Source organism: Homo sapiens, chromosome 8, assembly GCF_000001405.40.
Source record: "Homo sapiens chromosome 8, GRCh38.p14 Primary Assembly".
In the NCBI taxonomy this organism is placed as follows: Eukaryota; Metazoa; Chordata; class Mammalia; order Primates; family Hominidae; genus Homo; species Homo sapiens.
In genome coordinates, this window is record NC_000008.11 from 38,155,888 (window position 1) to 38,177,444 (window position 21,557).

The 21,557-nt window shown below is 44.6% G+C and overlaps 2 protein-coding genes, 1 long non-coding RNA gene and 1 pseudogene across 6 annotated transcripts in view, besides 4 other annotated features; 2 read left to right on the forward strand and 2 right to left on the reverse strand.

The window, feature by feature from the left end:
* On the forward strand, nt 452-7,507 carry LOC105379382 (uncharacterized). The gene is made up of 2 exons (XR_949687.2): nt 452-537; nt 7,423-7,507. It is a non-coding gene; the product is annotated as an uncharacterized LOC105379382 (long non-coding RNA).
* Nucleotides 7,434-20,843, reverse strand: LSM1 (LSM1 homolog, mRNA degradation associated). Of its 3 annotated transcripts, none has more exons than NR_045493.1 (4): nt 20,666-20,843; nt 16,078-16,146; nt 13,915-14,030; nt 7,434-7,953 (listed from the first exon to the last, which is right to left on the reverse strand). NR_045493.1 is itself a non-coding variant. In NM_014462.3 (4 exons), the coding sequence occupies exons 1-4, from the start codon at nt 20,431-20,433 to the stop codon at nt 7,783-7,785; spliced, it is 402 nt and encodes a 133-aa protein (NP_055277.1). In that variant the 5' UTR covers nt 20,434-20,606; the 3' UTR covers nt 7,452-7,782. The 3 variants fall into 3 exon arrangements, 1 of the variants encoding a protein (NP_055277.1); NM_014462.3 differs by lacking the exon at nt 20,666-20,843 and adding an exon at nt 20,388-20,606 and having other exon boundaries at nt 7,452-7,953; NR_045492.2 differs by lacking the exons at nt 13,915-14,030; nt 20,666-20,843 and adding an exon at nt 20,388-20,606 and having other exon boundaries at nt 7,452-7,953.
* Nucleotides 10,125-10,231, reverse strand: RNU6-323P (RNA, U6 small nuclear 323, pseudogene; annotated as a pseudogene).
* Nucleotides 19,574-20,431: an enhancer, noted in NCBI's record as "H3K27ac-H3K4me1 hESC enhancer chr8:38032979-38033836 (GRCh37/hg19 assembly coordinates)". NCBI's record gives its function as "activates a minimal SCP1, AML or CMV promoter by ChIP-STARR-seq in primed H9 embryonic stem cells {active_cell/tissue: H9 hESC(primed)}" and the evidence as "EXISTENCE:reporter gene assay evidence [ECO:0000049][PMID:30033119]".
* Nucleotides 20,011-20,100: an enhancer, noted in NCBI's record as "active region_27243". NCBI's record gives its function as "activates an Ori minimal core promoter by ATAC-STARR-seq in GM12878 lymphoblastoid cells {active_cell/tissue: GM12878}" and the evidence as "EXISTENCE:reporter gene assay evidence [ECO:0000049][PMID:35858748]".
* Nucleotides 20,432-21,289: an enhancer, noted in NCBI's record as "H3K27ac hESC enhancer chr8:38033837-38034694 (GRCh37/hg19 assembly coordinates)". NCBI's record gives its function as "activates a minimal SCP1, AML or CMV promoter by ChIP-STARR-seq in primed H9 embryonic stem cells {active_cell/tissue: H9 hESC(primed)}" and the evidence as "EXISTENCE:reporter gene assay evidence [ECO:0000049][PMID:30033119]".
* Nucleotides 20,511-20,660: an enhancer, noted in NCBI's record as "active region_27244". NCBI's record gives its function as "activates an Ori minimal core promoter by ATAC-STARR-seq in GM12878 lymphoblastoid cells {active_cell/tissue: GM12878}" and the evidence as "EXISTENCE:reporter gene assay evidence [ECO:0000049][PMID:35858748]".
* BAG4 (BAG cochaperone 4) overlaps nt 20,968-21,557 on the forward strand; it is a 36,447-nt gene continuing 35,857 nt past the window's right edge. For both annotated transcript variants that reach the window (NM_004874.4, NM_001204878.2), the window contains exon 1: nt 20,968-21,252. In NM_004874.4, coding sequence (NP_004865.1) covers nt 20,983-21,252 — 270 coding nt within the window. In that variant the 5' untranslated portion in view covers nt 20,968-20,982. The remainder of the gene's footprint in view (nt 21,253-21,557) is intronic.

Consider the following 21,557-nt stretch of genomic DNA (forward strand, 5'->3'; position numbering starts at 1 on the left):
CCTTGGCCTCCCAAAGTGCTGAGATTATAGGCGTGAGCCACTGTGCCAGCCCTTTTTTTTTTTTTTTTTTTTTTTTTGAGACAAGGTCTTGCTCTATTGCCCAGGCTGGAGTGCAGTGGTACAATCCCAGTTGACTGCAGCCTCAATCTCCCAGGTTTAAGAGATCCTTCCAGCTTAGCCTCCCAGATAGCTGAGATTATAGGTGTGCACCACCATGCCCAGCTAATTTCATTATTTTTTGTAGAGACAGGATATCACTATGTTGCCCTGGCTGGTCTTCAGCTCCTGGGCTCAAGCGATCCTCCTGCCTCAGCCTCCCAAAGCTCTGGGATTACAGGCATGAGCCACCGGGCCTGGCTGGGTTAACCTTTTAAAATCTCCTGTCTCTCTCTGTGAAAAGTGGGGCTAATAGTTGCATCTTAGCATATGCCTGGCTGCCATCTAGCAGTCAATAAATTTTAGGGTGATGGATGCTTACTCAACTTTAAATTCTGTTGGAGTCTCTTGTTTCCCCCCCTCACCCACCATTTCAAGCAGGTAAGCCCGACTTTTGATTTCCTTTCCCAGGAATTTTGGCAGAGAACATAGAGCATTTGGTCTTTTGTAATCACCTAAACCAGAAGAACAAACTGAATTTAGCCCTCACAATATTTAATTTGACCTACACACCATTTTAAGAACACTTTGAATTCATTGCCACTGTAAACTATAGGGACAGAAAATAGATCAGTGTTATCCAGGGGCTGGAAAGGAGGAAAGAAATACACAGGGCAGGAGTGATGAAAATATTCTGTATCTTGATCGTGATAGTGGTTACATAACTATACTCAGTTGTTAAAACTTATAGAACTCCACACCAAAAAGGCTGAATTTTACTTTATGTAAATTACACCTCAGTAAACCTGATCAGAAAAAAAACTGTGTCTTGGTGATGGATTCCCAGGCATTCTGGGTTCCTGACCTTGAGATCTGCCCAGCAGTGAGCCCTCTCTCTTTCTATTGGCCCCAGCTACGTACTTGGGTCGTGACACCACTCAGTTCTCTGGGTTCCCAAAGCAACAGGCTTTGAGGCCTTTTTTTTCTTTTCCCTTCTTTTTTCTTTTCTTTCTTTCTTTTTCTTTCTTTCTTTCTTTTTCTTTCTCTTTCTTTCTTTTTCTTTCTCTTTCTTTCCTTTCTCTCTCTCTCTCTCTGTCTTTCTCTCTCTCTCTTTCTCTCTCTCTCTCTCTTTCCTTCTTTCTCTCTCTGTTTTTTTTTTTTTTTTTTTTTTTTTTTTTTTTTTTTTTTTGGATACAGAGTCTCGCTCTGTTGTCCAGGCTAGAGTGCAGCGGCACGGTCTCAGCTTACTGCAACTTCCGCCTCACAGGCTCAAGTGATTCTCCTGCCTCAGCCTCCTGAGTAGCTGGGATTACAGGCACCCGCCACCACGCCCCGCTAATTTTTTTATTTTTTTATTTTTCTATTTTTTTGAGGCGGAATCTCGCTCTGTCGCCCAGGCTGGAGTGCCGTGGCGCTATCTCGGCTCACTGCAAGCTCCGCCTCCCGGGTTCACACCATTCTCCTGCCTCAGCCTTCCAAGTAGCTGGGACTACAGACGCCCGCCACCACGCCAGGCTAATTTTTTGTATTTTTAGTAGAGACGGGGTTTCACCGTCTTAGCCAGGATGGTCTCGATTTCCTGACCTCGTGATCCGCCTGCCTCGGCCTCCCAAAGTGCTGGGATTACAGGCGTGAGCCACTGCGCCTGGCCTAATTTTTGTATTTTTATTAGAGACAAGGTTTCACCATTTTGGCCAGGCTGGTCTTGAACTCCTGACCTCAGGTGATCTGCCTGCCTTGGCCTCCCAAAGTGCTGGGATTACAGGCGTGAGCCACCGCGCTTGGCTGGAAAATTAACTTTTGATCTTTGGCCACTTAGGTGAATACAGGACCAGCTTAATTGGTAAAATCAAGCACCCTTAAAGCAGTCTCTTGCTCCCATTATCCACAGGACCCCTATAGGGTGACATGCAAGATGGGGGTGGGCACTGCAGCCCACATCTGCCTGGAGGACAATTAGGAGGAGAACAGGTAGAAGAAAATCTTTACTCCCAGCAACCCTGACAGGCACCCAGCTCCCTGTCCAACCCTCACCCCCATGTTTTCCTGGGATGCTTTTCCAGGTTTTTTTTTTTTTTTTTTTTGAGACGGAGCTTCACTCTTGTTGCCCAGGCTAGAGTGTAATGGCGTGATCTCGGCTCACTGCAACCTCTGCCTCCCAGGTTCAAGCGATTCTCCTGTCTCAGCCTCCTGAGTAGCTGGGATTACAGGCATGTGCCACCATGCCCAACTAATTTTTGTGTTTTTAGTAGAGACGGGGTTTCATCATATTGGTCAGGCTGGTCTTGAACTCCTGACCTCAGGTGATCCGCCCACCTTGGCCTCCCAAGATGCTGGGATTACAGGCATGAGCCACCACACCGGGTCTCAGAATTTTTTTACCACCAATTACCTCCAAACCCTTCACACCTGAAGGGCTATGGCCTGCACTAAAGGCTGCCTCCACAGTAGGGGAACATCTCCATATTCAATGTAAGGACTGATCACTACTAATTATCCTACTCCTGGCCGCTCAGTGGTCGCAACTGTCTTCACCTTTTGGGGTCGTACTGGTCTCTGAAGCATATTGGTAAGCCAGCCTGAACTTACTTCATGCTTTCATCCATCCATCCATCCATCCATCCATCCATCCATCCATCCATCCATCCATCCATCCATCCTTCAACAAATACATACTGAGACTTAATGCACATTAGGCATCATTCTAGATGCTGGGGATACAAGAGTGAACAAGACAGATAGAAATCCATCCTTAAGGGTTTACATTCTAGTGAGGGAGGGGAGCAGACAGTAAACAGGTAAAATATATGTCAGATGGCAATACTTGGTAGGGTGAAAAGCTGGAAAGTTACAGATGGGGACGGGGTGCTTTTTTTTTTTTTTCTTGAGACTGAGTCTCACTCTGTCACCCAGACTGGAGTGCAGTGGCATGATCTCGGCTCACTGCAACCTCCACCTGCTGGGTTCCAGCAATTTTCCTGCCTCAGCCTCCCGAGTAGCTGGGATTACAGGCACCTGCCACCACGCCCGGCTAATTTTTTTTTTTTTTTTTAAGACAGAGTCTCATTCTGTAGCCCAGGCTGGAGTGCAATGGTGCGATCTCGGCTCACTGCACCCTCTGTCTCCCGGATTCAAGCGATTCTCCTGCCTCAGCCTCCCAAGTAGCTGGGATTACAGGCATGTGCCACCATGCCCAGGTAATTTTTGTATTTTCAGTAGAGACGGGGTTTACCATGTTGGCCAGGCTGGTCTCAAACTCCTGACCTCAGGTGATCCACCTGTCTCGGCCTCCCAAAGTGCTGGGATTACAGGCATGAGCCACGGCACCCAGCCAGGGGTGCTATTTTAAAGGGGCAGTCAAGGGAGGGGAATGTGACAGAGATCTGAAGATAGTGAGAGAAGGATTCATGCAAATTTCGGGGAATAGCATGTGTTAAGCCCAGAGATCAACAGATTCATCCCCATCCAGGGCACAGGTGATTTTCAGGAGTTGAGAAGAAAGATATGAAAATGAACGTGGACTTAAAATTTTTTTTTTCTGTACCTCAATGGATGCAAATACTCTTTTCCTTCGTAGTTGAAATAAGCACATACAAATTTACTATAAGGTAGTGTTTTTCAAATGTTTCTGACAGCCAGGCACAGTAACAAATTTATTTTACATCTCCAGTATCTGCATACATGCAGATAACAAGTTTCACACATGGCCTAACTTTATTATGTGATGCGCTTTGATTTCTTTCTTTCTTTCTTTCTTTTTTTTTTTTTGACGGAGTTTCATTCTTGTTGCCCAGGCTGGAGTGCAATGGCATGATCTCGGCTCACTGCAAACTCCGCCTCCCAGATTCAAGCAATTCTCCTGCCTCAGCCTCCCGAGTAGCTGGGATTACAGGCATGTGCCACCACGCCCTGCTAATTTTGTATTTTTAGTAGAGACAGAATTTCTCCATGTTGGTCAGGCTGGTCTGGAACTCTTGACCTCAGGTGATCCACCCACCTCGGCCTCCCAAAGTGCTGGGATTACAGGTGAGAGCCACTGCGCCCAGCCTTTTTTTTTTTTTGAGACGGAGTCTCACTGTCACCCACTATGCTCCTGAGTAGGTGGGACGACAGGCGTATGCCACACCTGGCTAATTTTTTGTATTTTTGGTAGAGATGATATTTCGCCATGTTGCCCAGGCTGGTCTCGAACTCCTGAGCTCAAGTGATTCACCCACCTCGGCCTCCCCAACTGCTGGGATTACAGGCGTGAGCCACCTGCATTCTATTTTTTATTCTAGTCCACTCAAAAAAGAAATTCTGGGCCACGTGCAGTCAGTCATCTTGGGCAGGTGTGCCTACTCTGCCTCCTGGCCTACCCCTTCTGCTGTCTGCACTGTGCTTGGCCTCCCTGTCCTGGCCCACTCACACTCCTGTGAAGAAAATGATACTTTCCAGCCTTCTTCACCTGTGATATCACTGGGACTCATCCTGACCTGGCTTCCCTGAGCGTCCATAATGGCCAGTATGAGGGTACTTGGCTCCACTAAGTATCCAGAGCCTGTTTGGATTTTATCAGATCAGGGAGGGGAGCAGATACTGCGGTTTAAACTTAGCTAAGAGCATGCAGTCTAAGAAGGTTACGGGCTAAGGGCGAAAAAAAAAAAGAGTAAGAGATATGCTGCTGTACTCAATTATTTCAGAAAACAGATGGCCAGAAAGGGGTCTTTGGTAGATCTTCCTATTTTTCTACCCTGAAAGCAGTCTCAAGCCCCAATTGGAAGAACTTTATTTTTCTACCCTGAAAGCAGCCTCAAGGGAAGCTGGGCGTGGTGGGGCATGCCCGTAATCCCAGCTACTCGGGAGGCTGAGACAGGAGAATTGCTTGAACCCGGGAGGTGGAGGCTGCAGTGAGCTGAGATTCGTGCCATTGCACTCCAGCCTGGACAACAAGAGCAAAACTCCGTCTCAAAAAAAAAAAAAAAAAAAAGATAAAACAGAAGTATGAAATGGGACTGATTCTGAAGCCTAATAATACAAGAGTCCAGCAATGGTCGGGGAAAAAAGCATTAGATTTCAGTATCTGCAAAGACTGGCTTGGGTAAGGTGAGGGCAAACCATCCCACTGGGCAGTCGAGGAACTAAGAATGCTGCAGATAGTCCGGAGAGTTTCATCCTTTAGGTCCAAGTCTTGGCTGTTGGCTGTATGATAAAGGTCTAAAGCAAGACAGTACACACAATGACTGAAACCTTGCTATGGCTTGGAAATTCTTGGAATTTAACGTAAGAGTAAATCATAACTCTTGCCATTACAGTGGGAATTGATGGATGTTGAAAACACAAGATAACTGTAACGAATTCACATTTCTTGGAGGTGTCACATGTTTTGAAGCAGTGGGGCTCTGAAAAACAAATGCTGTCATTCTGCTGAACTTCAGAGTATCTTACTGTAGTCACACGTTTTTCAAAAGTTGGTATTTCTTCTCTTTATGTGGGTAGTTAATAATACATTCTATTAAACAGTAAGATGGGCAAAACATTAGATAAGCCATTAAGTGCAATAGTTTCCTCATAAGTTACCTACTATAAAATCAGCCCAATGATGAACAGTTCAGAAGTCAAATGGTTTGTAGGCCTTTTGGGCAGTTTTAAAAACCCCTGAGCTCATAAAATGTTAATACTATAAAATAATTCACACACATACAGGCCAAGCGTGGTGGCTCATGCCTGTAATCCCAGCACTTTGGGAGGCCGAGGCCAGAGGATCACTTGAGGTCAGGAGTTCGGGAACCCACCACGCCAACATGGTGAAACCCCGTCTCTACTAAAAGTACAAAAATTAAAGAGGGGTGTGGTGGTACGTGCCTATAATCTCAGCTACTCGGGGAACCTGGGATGTGCAGGTTGCAGCGAGCCAAGATCGCACCTCTGCACTTCAGCCTGGGCGACAGAGCAAGACTCTGTCTCAAAGAAAAAAAAAATAATAATAATAAATCACACACATACAAATTAGATATAAAATTTATGAAAATAACATTTTTGCTTAACAGAATATAAAAAGGAACTACCTGGAATAATCAGTTAAAATTACTGAGAATCAGAGGATGACTTACTCAAGCCTAATCTGCCAATAATTGCCAATTTCACACGGTATCTCCTAACTCCTAGTTGAGCCCACTGTCTACTAAACCATGATTCCTTTATTTATTTATTTAGAGACAGAGTCTCACTCTGTCGCCCAGGATGGACTACAGTGGTGCAATCTCAGCTCACTGCAACCTCTGCCTCCCGGGTTCAAGCAATTCTCCTGCCTCAGCCTCCCGAGTAGCTGGGATCACAGGGATGCACCACCATGCTAATTTTTATATTTTTAGTAGACGGGGTTTCACCATGTTGGCCAGACTGGCCTTGAACTCCTGACCTCAGGTGAACCACCTGCCTCTGCCTCCCAAAGTGCTGGGATTACAGGTGTAAGCCACTGCACCCGGCCCATGCTTCCTTCTTGAAGTACAAATCTGTTAAGCTTTTCATGCAATCCCTACTCTTCGACAGTCACACAAAGTGCCATCACTATGGGCTTTCAGTCACTACAATACCATTTATGTTCCTTTTTGATGAGAACGTTAAGATACTCAAGACTCAATACAAAGGACTAGAACACCTAATTAAATTAGCAGAAAACCTGGAGAACAAGCCACTGTAAGAACATGTTGGGTCTCGTGGGGACTTAGTTTGGAATAGCCATGGGCGAAGCAGGAGCAAGAGCAACCATGATGTCGTTTCTCAAACATGAGTCTTCTGCAGTAACCAGTAACTGGGAAACAGCTGAAAGCTCCCTCCTCACGCCTGAGCGTTTATATTTTTTTTTTTTTTTTTTTGAGACGGAGTTTCGCTCATTGCCCAGGCTGGAGTGCAATGGTGCAATCTTGGCTCTCCGCAACCTCTGCCTTCCAGGTTCAAGTGATTCTCCTGCCTCAGCCTCTCAAGTAGCTGGGATTACAGCATGCGCCACCACGCCCTGGTAATTTTGTATTTTTAGTAGAGACAGGGTTTCTCCATGTTGGTCAGGATGGTCTTCAACTCCCGACCTCAGGTGATCTACCCGCCTCGGCATCCCAAAGTGCTGGGATTACAGGCATGAGCCACCGCCCCTGCCGAACATTTGTATTTCTTAACAGATACAAACATGGAAACAGGAGAGGACCCCTGAGATGACTGGAATAAAAATATTCCTTCCTAAGTAGCCAGCTACTTGAAACTGTGACTGAAGGGGGAAATCCCAGTATGTGGACTGCTTATACCTTTGAGAGCAGAAACTTAATTAATCTATTAATCTATTCATTACAGGTAACTCAAACTTGGAAATAACATGACACTTTTGAGATTCATATTTTATTTACAAGTAAATGAAGACTGTCCCTGTAAACTCTAATTTGGGATATGAAGAACAATATAAAGAAGTAGTTGCTGGTGCCACAGTGATGTGTGAAGGAGTCTATGCCACTGTTTCTTTAAACAGTGATTTTGTTATTAAAAAAAAAACCCACCTACACGATTTCTTCATGTTGCATATGTAAAATAATTAAAAATAAAAGTGACTTTTCAAAACTCTACAGTCTGTGATCAAATGCGTGAGGTGGCCAGGATGTCACTTTCACTCAGTGACAGCCCCTACTCTTCAAGAGCCAACAGCCTCTGGGCAAAAGATTAGTACTCATCAAGAGTATCTGCTCGAGGAATGGAAAGACCTCGGTCCTTCAGGGCCTGCACTTTCAACTTCTCTGCTTCCAGCTTGGTCTGCTGTTCCACCCTTTGTTCTTCTAGAATTTCTTCAATGGATACTTGCTGGAGGGGTGTGTCACTCTCCTTTTCCAAGTCCTACAAAAGAGACAGGTTTGAAAACTTCACCTGAAGACCAAGAATAGAAAGCACAGATCTCAAGGCAAATGGATTCCTCTATCAGGCTCAGATTATTTTTCATAACTGTGACAGGAACTGAAATATCCTTCTCCTAGGGACCGGTAAGTTTTTCAAAGAAATGCCTGACAACACTACTATAGGATACATACTTACAATGAGGTTAATAGTGATCAGTATATGTATATATTTTTCAAGATGGAGTCTCTCTGTCACCCAGGCTGAAGTGCAGTGGCGCAATCTGAGCTCACTGCAACCTCTACCTCCTGGGTTCAAGCGATTATCCTGCCTCAGCCTCCTGAGTAGCTGTGATTACAGGCACGTGCCACCACGCCTGGCTAATTTTTGTATTTTAAGTAGAGACAGGGTTTCACCACGTTGGTCAGGCTGGTCTCGAAACCTGACCTCATGATCTGCCTGCCTTGGCCTCTCAAAGTGCTGGGATTATAGGCAGTAATAAGTATTTGTATAACAGAGCTTTATGTGATCCAAAATCCCATATTAGTCAGGATTAATTTTCTATTAGTCCACGATTAATTTCCTTAAAAAAAAAAATTAGGGCTGCTTATAGACAGCTATCTCCCCCACTGCAGAGAATCCAAGAGGGAGGTTATTGAGGCAATGTGGCCTTAGACTTTTTTTTTTTTTTAATTATTTTAAGGACGGGTGGAGTGGCTCACAGTCGTAATCCCAGCACTTTGGGAGGCTGAGGTGGGAGGATCACTTGGGCCTAGGAGTTCGAGACCAGCCTGGGCAACACAGTGAGACCCTAACTAACTCCACCAAAAAACAAAACAAAAAAAAGCTGGTGTGGTGGTGTTCACCTACAGTTCCAGCTACTCAGGAGGCTGAGGTGGAAGGACTGCTTGAGCCTGGGAGGTTGAAGTTCAAGGCTGCAGTGAGCCATGAATGTGTCACTGCACTCCAGCCTCTGCAACAGCAAGACCGTCTCAAAAAAAGTAAAAAGACAAAAATAAAAAGGGATCCTCTTGCCTTTACCTCCTACGTAGCTGGGGCTACAGGTGTGCGCCACCGTACCAGCTCTGTAGTCTAGATCTAAACTGTAACAAGACTCTTTTTCCCTTTACGGCAACAAGTCTTCTAGGGAGAACCTCGGCAGACCATTTAGGTTACTAAACCAATTTGGTCCCAATATTTTTCTCCACTATTTAAAAAATTGCTGCTTAGGTTGGGCATGGTGGCTCACGCTTGTAATCCCAGCACACTGGGAAGCCGAGGCGGGCAGATCACTTGAGGCCAGGAGTTCGAGACCAGCCTGGCCAACATGGCAAAACCCCCGTCTCTACTAAAAATACAAAAAAAATTAGCTGGGCGTGGTGGCAGGTGCCTGTAATCCCAGCTACTTGGGAGGCTGAGGCAGGAGAAGCACTTGAACCTGGGAGGCGGAGGTTGCAGTGAGCGGAGATCACGCCATTGCACTCTAGCCTGGGTGACAAGAGTAAAACTCCATCTCAAAAAAAAACAAAAAATTGTTGCCTAATAAAAAATTCCTTATTTAAAAAATACACACTCATCGTAGATAATATGGAAAATAGACAAACAAGGAAAATTTAAAAATTATCCATAATTCCAGTATGGAGGATTAACATTTTGATAATATCCCTACAATTTTTCTACATATATACTGACTTAAAAAAAATAAACAACCCAGCCAGGTGTGGTGGCTCACACTTGTAATCCCAGCTACTCGGGAAGCTGAGGCACGAGAATCACTTGAATCCAGGAGGCAGAGGTTGCAGTGAGCCAAGATCACACCACTGCACTCTAGCCTGGGCGACAGAGTAAGACTCTGTCTCAAAAGGAAAAAAAAAAAAAAGTAAAAAATAAAAAATTAGCTGGGCGTGGTAACGTGTACCTATAGTCCCAGCTACTCATGAGGCTGAGGGGGGAGGATCACTTGAGCCCAGGAGTTTGAGGCTGCAGTGAGCTGTGATCACACCACTGCAGTCAGCCTAGATAACAAAGTGAGACGCTGCCTCAAAAACAAACCCCTCCCAAAAACCCACAATGCAAATACTGACTTTAATTCGTTTTTTCACTTAAATGTGGCATAGTATGCTTAATATTTTTATTTTTGAATGTTTTATAAACATTTTTCATTAATTATTTTTAAAGATATAGAAGACTTCATGAATTTGCGTGTCATCCTTAAGCAGGGGCCGTGCTAATCTTCTCTGTGTTGTTCCAATTTTAGTAGATGTGCTGCCAATGTGAGCACATTTTTCATTTTTTTAGAGACAGGATCTTGCTCTGTTGCCCAGGGTGGAGTGCAGTGGCACAATCACAGCTCACCATGATCTGAAACTCTTGGGCTGAAGTGATCCTCCTGCCTCAGCCTCCTAAGTAGCTGGAACTACAGGCATGTGCCACCACATCTGGCATTAAATCTTTTTTCTTTTTGTAGAGATGGGGTCTTGCTATGTTGCCCAGGCTGGTCTCAAACTTCTGGCCTCAAGCATCCTCTTGCCTTGGCCTCCCAAAGTGTGAGCCACTGTGCCTGGCCCTTATAAACATTTGCTAACCAATGTCATAATGCAGAAGAACCTTGCTAAAAAAGTATCTCACTGTCCATAGATTCAGTTTATTGTCCTTAAAATGAATGTACAGGTATTATTTGGTGTTTTTGTAAGATGGAAAGCCTATACAAAGTATTCCTGTTTCTTACCCTCCTCTATGACTTTCAATGATAAAAGTTTGGGACGGTACTGACACACTTCTCCAGATGCTCTGCCCTGCATACTATTACCACATGCTGCCAAGGTCTCAGAACTCACAGGCAGTGGCATTATCAGTCAGAGAGGACTCTCACCACAGAAGTTACAATGAAAGCCACACAAATTACATAAGCAAGCCCTGCTCTAGGTCCAAAGTTAACAGCACCCAGCAAAGTATATATTACCACCTGCCCTCCCAACCCATGAGTAGCAGCTAAAGAGAGCACAGTGTTCTCGGCCTAATGCACTGCCTCTTGGGCTTTTCAGTATGTGACTTGCTAAGCAATTCATGCTGCTGTTGCTGCTTCTTCCCAACAGTCTTATTACTTAATGCTGTGTCATCATCATCGTCCTTGAGGCAGAATTCAGGGATTTCTTAACCAATATAGTGTTTACAGAAACTGATTTCTATGTATGAATTCCTCTGGGGTTGGTACATAATTTCTCCTGATTGCTGATTCACATAACAATGCAGGCATTCCTGGAACCAAGTTTCTGTAGTGGTACCCCTGTAAAACTTCTGCAGCATCCAAACCATAACATATTTTTTTAAAAAAGGGAACTTTTCCTCACAAAAGGGATCCAAGGAAACAATTAAACTTCAAGAACAAACACGTTCACCTCTTTCTCTGCACAAACACACACATCTACTTAGATGTAACTTTGTGCCAATGTAACCAGTATAAAAAGCATGTCTGCTATGTTTACTACTATAAAACAGAAGCATATCTGTGAATATTTTCTTGAGAAAGGGTCTTGCTCTGTTACCCAGGTTGGAGTGCAGTGGTACAATCATGGCTCACTGTAGCCTCGACCTCCCTGAGCTCAGGTGAATCTCCCACCTCAGCCTCCCAAGTAGCTGGGACTGGTGATGTGCACCATCACCCCTGGCTAATTTTTGTATTTTTTTGTAAAGACAGGGTTTGGCCATGTTGCCCAGGCTGGTCTCTTGCAGCTTAAGCGATCTGCCTGCCTCGGCCTCCCAAAGTACTGGGATTACAGACGTGAGCCACTGCACCCACCCCAGTATTTTAACTTAAGTTTTTTCCTCTGATACGTTGCCTCTTCAAAATTAAATTCAGAAAAGTATTTTTAAAAATCATCTATAACCCCACCATGCAGAGATGGGTCAGCTCCCCTATATACTGGCAGTATCAAGCACAGTGGCATGTACCTATAGTCCCGGCTACTTGGGAGGCTGAGACAGGAGGATTGCCTAAGCCTAGGAGTTTGAATCTAGCCTGGGCAACATAGTGAGACCCCATCTCTGGAAGAAAAAAAATACTGGCAGACTACTTTACAGTCATGTAGTGTCTCCCCATGGGTACCATGGTACTAGGTGCTTTCAGACTTTTTTTTTTTTTTGAGACGGAATCTTGCTCTGTCGCCCAGGCTGGAGTGCACTGGCACGATCTCGACTCACTGCAAGCTCCGCCTCCTGGGTTCATGCCATTCTCCTACCTCAGCCTCCCAAGTAGCTGGGACTACAGGCGCCCGCCACCACACCCGGCTAACTTTTTTGTATTTTAATAGGGATGGGGTTTCACTGTGTTAGCCAGGATGGTCTCGATCTCCTGACCTTGTGATCCGCCCGCCTCAGCCTCCCGAAGTGCTGGGATTACAGGCGTGAGGCACCGCACCTGGCCTTGTTTCAGCCTTTATGCGACACAAGAAGATAACAATTTCTGCTGCTTGGCTGGGCGCGGTGGCTCATGCCTGTAATCCCAGCACACTGGGAGGCCGAGGCGGGTAGATCGCCTGAGGTCAGGAGTTCGAGACCAGCCTGGCCAACATAGTGAAACCCCGTCTCTACTAAAAATACAAAAATTAGCTGGGCTTGGTTGCGGGCACCTGTAATCCCAGCTACTCGGGAGGCTGAGGCAGGAGAATCACTTGAACCTGGGAGGCGGAAGTTGCAGTGAGCTGAGATCATGCCATTGCACTCCAGCCTGGGCAACAGGAGCAAAACTCTGTCCCAAAAAAAAAAAAAAACCCAAAAAACAAAAAACAATTTCTGCTGCTTAAACATGCAAGAAATGATACACTGAACTAAAAGTACAAACTACAAAAATATTTTATAAGAAAAATTTTTATAAGTATTACTTATAAATATTTTATAAGTAAGAAAAAGCTATTTCATATATTTCACAGCATATATTTCATATATTCATATATTTCATATACTTCATATATTTCACTTGGGCAGTATTGATAGTCTGGATTAGTCATTTCTAGCTATTTCCAATATGAGGTCTCTGAACCAACCCAACCCTAGCAGAATTATCTCCTTGCTTTCTCAAATGGCTGTTAAAAATGGCTACAAACCAAACCACTCTAAAGATTTCTGCAAACTGATTTAAGACATGGCTAGGTATTTAGAAAACAGTATTAAAAACTTTAAAAATTAAGCAAACACCAAAGTTTTTGGTAAGAAAAAAGAAGACAGTGCTGGCTCAACCCTTAATTTCAACTACTCTTGAAGAGATTTTTATTTTCCTTGCAAACCCAATAATCAGAAATAACAAGATGAAATCAAAGGTTTTAAATAAGATACTTTAAAAAAAAATCTGAGTACTTCTAGTAGGGGTGTGTGTGTGTATGTCTGCACACACGAAGACCTACAGCAACAATACCTCAGAAAATCTGATTTAACCTTTCACCTGCCAGCTGGTCTTTCTGGCACAGATACCAAAATACCCTCTCCCTGGCTGTGAGCTAAGGATCCAAGTAAGACTGAACTCCATTCTCGGGATAGGTAACGGAAAAGCTTTTCCTATAGCTACTCTTTCCCTTTCCCCCTTTACTAATATGGATATCACATTGTACTGTACAGGCAATATGTACTTCCCTGAAATACTGTGCATTAGCTTTATGCCATGAAAAACCACTTGTAACCAATTGTTTAAATGACTGCAAAATATTCCAACGTATGTAAGACACACCTTCCCCAGCATATATAAATCAAGCTTTGTCAATTTTCTGCTATTAAACAAATATATTAATGAACACATTTGTTAAGGCACTGAAACAAAGTATTCTCTGTAGCTTCCCTAAATTAATTTGGTAGTTGCCTAGGAGAAGCCAGATAAATGTGGAGAATATTTTTATTCTCTTTTGAAAAGACAAAAAAAGAAGTCTAACTAGCATGAATATGAAGATCTACAGCAGCTTAATAGTTTTCACTTACTATTTCTCCTAGTAGGACCACATTTTCTCCTCTGACCACAAAAATCCCTCGAGGAATATCACCGTATTTTTTGCCCACATGAATACGCTCCACAGTCTGATGTAGCACTAAGTTTGCTGTAAGTGTATAGGGAAAAACCAAAGATATTTAGTTTAAACTACTGGGTAAAGGCCCATAACTCAATAATCAGTTATTTTGAAAAGATTTAGGTAAACATGATTTCCAAGCTTTCTAATTATTTTTATTTATTTATTTTTTGAGACCGAGTCTCGCTCTGTCACCCAGGCTGGACTGCAGTGGCGCCATCTCAGCTCACTGCAACCTCTGCCTACTGGTTCAAGCAATTCTCCTGCCTCAGATTCCGGAGTAGCTGGGACTACAGGTGCCTGCCACCACTCCCGGCTAATTCTGTATTTTTAGCAGAGACAGGGATCACCACATTGGCCAGGCTGGTCTTGAACTCCTGGCCTTGTGATCCGCCCACCTCGGCCTTCCAAAGTGCTGGGATTACAGGCGTGAGCCACAGTGCCGGGCCCCCAAGCTTTCTAATTCTGGGGAAGGCTAAAATTTCAAATAATCTTCTCCTATTTCATTGAGTAAGACGTACCAGTTAGGAGATGTCTGGGATTATGTTGGGCTAATACATGAATGACAGCAGAAATAAGAGAAATAAATTCCTTTATCAGTTAATTGCTAATACCAAAAAAAACCATAGGAAAATATAAATGAATAAGGAACTTGGAAAACTTGGGCCTAAACAACCACAGAGATCAAAACTTTTGTTTTCTGGAAAGAAACAGCTTTTCTTTTTGTGTGGGTGTGTATGTGATGATCTGCTGAAGATTCAACTTTCTTTTAGTAATTAGGATTCATTTGACCCAACGCAGGTATCCATGGGTTATGATACAGCAAAAACCTATTTTTTCACCTTGACAGATAACTATATTTGTAATCTAAAAGTCAACTTAATAGCCACTACCCTTCCCTCAAAGTACTCTGATGAATCTGACTTAAGAATCAGGACTCCAATTTGTTAACAATAATTATTTTTCCTCTTTCAATTAGTACTACTTGTCCTATTTGAAGTAAAGGAGAAATCTATGTTCATATCTTCCATAATCCTTTTAAGTGTTTTAATTACGTTTCTTCCTCATGCTCAAATCCAGTGATTTCGCAGATATCCAATAAATGTTAGCATGAACATGAAGTTCCTTGAAACAGAAGGAAACATAATCTTTTAACTTAAGAAAAATGCAGGATGCGAAACAAAGACAGAGGCCTCTTATTCCAATGTATCCCTATATGTAAAGTATTAAGCTTAATGTTGGGGTCCTTAAAATAAAGGAAATGCCTTCTACCCAATTTTCATTGGCTAGGGAGGGATTACCTTCACTTCCGGAACTGCTTTGAAGTCATTTTACCCTGCCAATGTAGAAATAAGCAGCCTTGGGCCGGGCACAATGGCTCGCGCCTATAATCTCAGCACTATGGGAGCTAAGACCAGCCTTCCAGCTGTCCCCACTGATGCACCAGACATGTGAGTGAAGCTCCTTCAAACCAGCTGACTCACCTTCTAGACACCAAGGGACTGTCCTAAAACCATGAGGAGCAGAACAACTGCCCAGCTCAGCTGGGTGGGTGGATCACCTAAGGTCAGGAGTTTGAAACCAGCCTGGCCAACATGGCGAAACCCCGTCTCTACTAAAAATACAAAAATTAGCTGGGGGTGGTGGCTGGAGCCTATAATCTCAGCTACTTGGGAGGCTGAGGCACAAGAATCACTTGAACCCAAGAGGCGGAGGTTGCAGTGAGCCAAGATTGTGCCACTGCACTCCAGCCTGGGTGACCGAGAGCGCGTCTAAACAAAAAACAAAACAAAACAAAACAAGCCTCTTCGGTGGACTGAGTTTATTTCTATCATTTGGCTCCCCCTACTGGGGATTCTACTGAAAGCCAGTTTTAGAAACGAGCTTGGAAATATATATAAGCTTTGAACCACCTAATCTGAATGTATAGAAAACAATGATGTACTCACTAAAATCAGTCCTACTAGGTCACACACGTGAAAAAGTTGCAGATAAATTTCAATATTAAATAACAAAAAATGCAATGGGCTGCTGTTATTATCCAGAGTATAAGAGATGTCCATAAATTAATACATACCAAATTGATCAATGCTTCTTAAAAAGCCTATAAGTGTCCTTCCATCTCGAAGCAGAACCAAGTGCTTTTCTGGGGAGAGAGGAAAAAATCTTTTAAATGAAAACTGACAAGTTCAGCGAGTATTTAGGATAATAATTAACAGTTTAAGCTGTACCACTTCCTCGGCCAATGCATTTAATGTGAAGTTCAAGTTCATTGGAAAACTGAAAAAAGCAGCACAGCAACGCGGATTTAGATAACATCAGTAGTGAAAAGAATCAGAGCAGTGTGGCAGAGTGGGAAAAGGACAGGGCGTGGCACCAGGAAGCCTGACTAGCTGGCTCTAGACCCTTATGTTGGTTTTTTTTTTTTCCTTTTTTCTTTTTTTTTTTTTTTGAGACAGAGTCTCACTCTGTCACCCAGGCTGCAGTGCAGTGGCACAATCTCGGCTTACTACAACCTCTGCCTCCCAGGTTCAAGCGATCCTCCTGCATCGGCCTCCTTAGTAGCTGGGACTACAGGAGTTTGCCACCATGCCTGGCTAATTTTCATATTTTTAGTAGAGATGGTGTATCACCATGTTAGCTAGGCTGGTCTCAAACTCCTGACTTCAGATGATCCATCCACCTCCACCTCCCAAAGTGCTGGGATTACAGGCGTGAACCATGGCGCCTAGCCAAAGACCCTTATGTTTGACACTTAAACCATCTCATGTCATGTCAGTTTTTATATCTGTAAATTGACAAATTTAATCTAGATGACTATTATCTTATTTGTAGAATTATTTTGTCCTCAAAAGATGAGCTTCTATCTCACATTTTGTTTGTAACCATAGAAGGCTTTAAATAAAAACACAATGCTTCAGGCATTTAAAATGAAGACTAATAATAAGCTAGAGCAGAAATTCAATGTTTACTGAGGGGGCATGTGCTGTTCTGGGGTCTAGACATACAGTAGAGAATGAGACTTAGAAAGTCACCAACCTTATGAATTTATATTCATGTTGGAGGAGGACAAATAAATAAGAAAATAACCTATTGTGATTAGGACAATGGAATAATAAACTAGCAAGGCAGTATGATGAAGGGAGAGAAGTGGTTACAGAAGGAAGGGTGGCAAGGGAAAGCCTCTCTGAAGAGGTGACTTTGAGCTGACACTGAAGAATGAAAATAAGCCAGTTACTAGCGCACCCAGCAAAATTTCTTTCATTCCATGCCTAAAGTACTTTCTAGATGCAGAACAGAGGAAAAACACAGTGACTCTGCCCTGAAGGAATTTATACTCTTCCTTGCGCTATAAATAAGTACCACAGAAAGCAAATCTTAATTATATGAGACTACAGAGAGAGAAACTGTATTTCTGAAGGAGGTATCAGAGTTGGACCTTAAAAGGTAGATAATTTTAGGGCACAAGAAGAGTGATAGGAAGGGGGCGGGGGGGGAGAAGGAAATCTGTAAATTAAAGAGGAGGAAAAAAGGGCTATACATCCATGTTTAGCTAAAAGCTGAGGGTGTGAAGGGAAAGAACAGTAGATAAAGTCAGAAAAGTACTGGGCGCAGGCTGCATCTGGATTTGACTTCATAGGGAACAAGAAAACATTAAGTGATGGAGTCTGTTTACTGAGTTTGTATAAGTGGGTATGTGTGAGAGGGTGGGGTGCTGAAGATGTGAGGTAAAGATGTAGGAGTTTTATGAGACATCACAAAACTATTTACCAAGAGTTGGGAATAAAAGCAGCAAGCTCAGGGTGAAGGTTATTAGCTCTTTGTGATTCTAAAGTGCTATCAGGACACTTAATAGAAACACACGCAGATAGTTGGAAACAGTAAGACTGGAAAACCAAAGACATCAAGATTAGAGAAAGCAATTTTGGATAAATCTACAAAGAGGTGATATAAAAAACTAAAGTACAGGAGATCTACTAAAGATTTAAAGAAGTAGGCCACATGTAATCCAAGTGACCATCTATTTTGGAGAACAGTAAGAGCCAGAGAAGTAAGAAAATCACCAAGTACCAGTTGTTAGAGAAATCAAGAGAAGAGAATTAAAGAATCTGGTGGGGAGAGTATCACAGTGCTGCAAAGGGGAGAGAACACAGAAGAAGACCTTAGACGAATAACTTTGAAGAATGCAGCTTGAGTAATTTCAGGATAAAAATTAGATTGCAGGAGTAATGTAAGTAGTCTATTGAAGGTGATCAAGAAACAGACAAAATGAAAATGACTCGAGGTTTGGGGATAAAGATATGAAAAAAGGGATGGGCATATGAAGAGAACGGAGAAAATATTTGAGATGGATAGACAGTAACACATGAGGGGAAGAACGCAGGGGTTGGGGAGACAGAGGATATAAAAGAAAAAGGCTAACAACGAAAAAAGGTTCCAGAAGCAGTGAGAGGAGACAGTAACAACAGACAGACAAAAAGGGAGGAATCCTTCCTACTCAAATTAAAGGATGGGTGAAAATACAGAAACACAAGGAGGAAACTGTGTGTTAGGGTTGGGGAGCAAAGGGTGCATATCAAATGGCTTCAAAGTTTTCATAAAGTAGGGGGTCTGGAATCTACAAAGAGGTAGGGGTTAGAGGACCAAAGAGCAAAACTGATTTTTAGTAAAATGGCAGGATGTGTTAGAGGATATATAAGGAGAGATGAGGGCAAAAGAGCATCCTCGAGCAACTAAAACATCCTGTTACACGTAACAGGTTCATATAGATGTTAATATATATTTAGTCCAATTACACTACATTTCCCTTACATAGCACAATAAGTAATTTGTGTTTAAAAAAATGATCTGTCGGCCGGAGGCGGTGGCTCACGCCTGTAATCCCAGTACTCTGGGAGGCCGAGGTGGGTGGATCACCTGAGGTCAGGAGTTGGAGACCAGACTGCCCAGCATGGCGAAACCTCGTCTCTACCAAAAAATGCAAAAATTAGCTGGGCGTGCTGGCAGGCGCCTGTAATCCCAGTTACTTGGGAGGCTGAGGCACAAGAATTGTTTAAACCCGGGAGGTGGAGGTTCCAGTGAGTCGAGATCGCGCCACTGCACACTACAGCCTGGGCGACAGAGCAAGACTCTGTCTCAAAAAAAAAAAAAAAAAAAGAAAAGAAAAGAAAAAAGATCTGTCAACCATAAAATGATTTTTTTTTTTTTTTTGAGACGGAGTCTTGCTCTGTCGCTCAGGCTGGAGTGCAATGGTGCGATCTCGGCTCACTGCAACCTTCTCCTCCCGGGTTCAAGCGATTCTCCCGCCTCAGCCTCCCGAGTAGCTGGGATTACAGGCACCGCCATAGTGCCCAGCTAATTGTAGGAACGGGGTTTCACCATGTTGGCTAGGCTGGTCTTGAACTCCCGACCTCAGGCGATCTGCCCGCCTCGGCCCCCCAAAGTGCTGGGATTACAGGCGTGAGCCACCGCGCCAGGCCCGTAAAATGAAATTTTAACCATAGATTCTAAATTGCGTATTCACAGAGTAACTGAGACGATTGCAACTTATTTAAAACTATGTGTAAATCATCTTGAAACAAGTTAATGAGAAAGATCACATGATTAAAACAATAAAAAATGTTGCTTGAGGAATAATGCACAGACGGAATTTAGAAAAAAGGAAAGCCAGAACAACTGCAGACGGTTCTTTTCGCTTTTGTATAGGACTGAGCTCCTCTTCCGGACAAAAACCAGGAATAAGGGAGGTCTTCTTAGTAAAAGCAAAAGTAAATTGTCTTAAAAAAAAAAAAAAGGTTGCAAGTGATTTGGTCTTTCCAGAAAAGTCAATACCATGTCTAACAGTGGTCTCTACTACAATAACCTGAAGGTGCTAATGACCCTCACAGTAAAATAAGCTAGCAAATGGCCACACCGTAGAGCGCCTACATTTACTGCCAATTAAGTCCAACTGCCGCTGTCTTAATATTTTCGCTTTTTAATGAATCCTCTCTCTAGGTATTCCGATCCATCCACCGGTAACACGCTGATACTTCGAAATACTGCAGGCAGGAGTGGACGGGGGAGAAGCCCCCCCCCTCCCCGGGCTTCTTTCGTGTTCGGGCCTCTGCTGCCGCGATCCACGGAAGCAAGAATGAGTTCCATCGCTTGGGGCTCACCAGCTAGAGGGCTGGCGGAGGCTGCGAGGGGCAGAAGTAGCAGCAGGCTACTGGGTGGGCAAGCGGTGTGTACCGCAGCTGTGGAGGACATCGACGCGGAACGCCCGGATTGAGCTCAGAACACACCGGCCCCGCCCGGGACTCATTCTACAAGCTTCTTCGGAAGAGGCGCCCGCCCGGGAGGAAGGGTCTAACCCCGGGCTCCACCGGGAGGAGATAAACTACTCACTGTCAATGTCCTCGATGAGGCTGGCGGTGCCAGGCATATAGTTCATTTTGAACTGAAATAATGCTGCAATGCACAGCGGCGGGAGGCCAGCGCGTCCAAAACCTCTTCCCTCCTACCGCAGTCGCCGCCTCGGTGGGACCAAGCCCGGAATCCCGACCGAGACCAGCACTTCTGCCCCGGCTTTCAGCCGCCGGGGGCTGCCGGAAGCTCCTCCATATTACCCTTACCCACTTCCTGTAACACGTGTGGGCCCCCAGGAAGAGGCGGGGCAGCCGTACCGTTGGGGGACACCCTTTCCCTGTTCCTGTTAAGTAGGTAAGAGGAAACTCCATTGGATAAATGGCGAGGAAACGTATACTCCCTCTTAAGGAACACGGTGTCTTCCTTCGTCTCCGGGTTCCCGAGACCCCAGAGTCACTGACCTCCGTCCCTCAGCTTTCGGGGTTCGGCAGCAGAAGGGGCGGGCCCGGGCCTGGGATTGGCTGGCGTCGTCCGACCCCCTTCGCTGCTCTCCATTCGCAATCGCCCGCGGGCGCCTGCGCGATGGGTCGGCCGTGGGGAGCGGGGCGGGAAGCGCTTCAGGGCAGCGGATCCCATGTCGGCCCTGAGGCGCTCGGGCTACGGCCCCAGTGACGGTCCGTCCTACGGCCGCTACTACGGGCCTGGGGGTGGAGATGTGCCGGTACACCCACCTCCACCCTTATATCCTCTTCGCCCTGAACCTCCCCAGCCTCCCATTTCCTGGCGGGTGCGCGGGGGCGGCCCGGCGGAGACCACCTGGCTGGGAGAAGGCGGAGGAGGCGATGGCTACTATCCCTCGGGAGGCGCCTGGCCAGAGCCTGGTCGAGCCGGAGGAAGCCACCAGGTAAGCTTTGCACCCTCTGTCCTTGCGGGGAGGTGAGGGCCCTTGGGGCTGGGGTTCGTAAAGGATCGGGTTTCATACTTGTTTTCCTTATGTGGAGGAGGGTGTGTTGCGGGGGGTGTTGGAGAGACCGAGACTAAGATCAGAGGTTGGGGGGACATGCTTGTGTTCCCTTTGCCCCTCCTTTTCTGCTTCGACCCCAAAAAATATGTTTATTACCATTTAAAAAAGAAAGATCCTGCGCGGACTTACTAAGCTTAGCAGCAGGCTGCAGATCTCTCTCCTGGGAGCGGTGCTGGGTAGGGGTG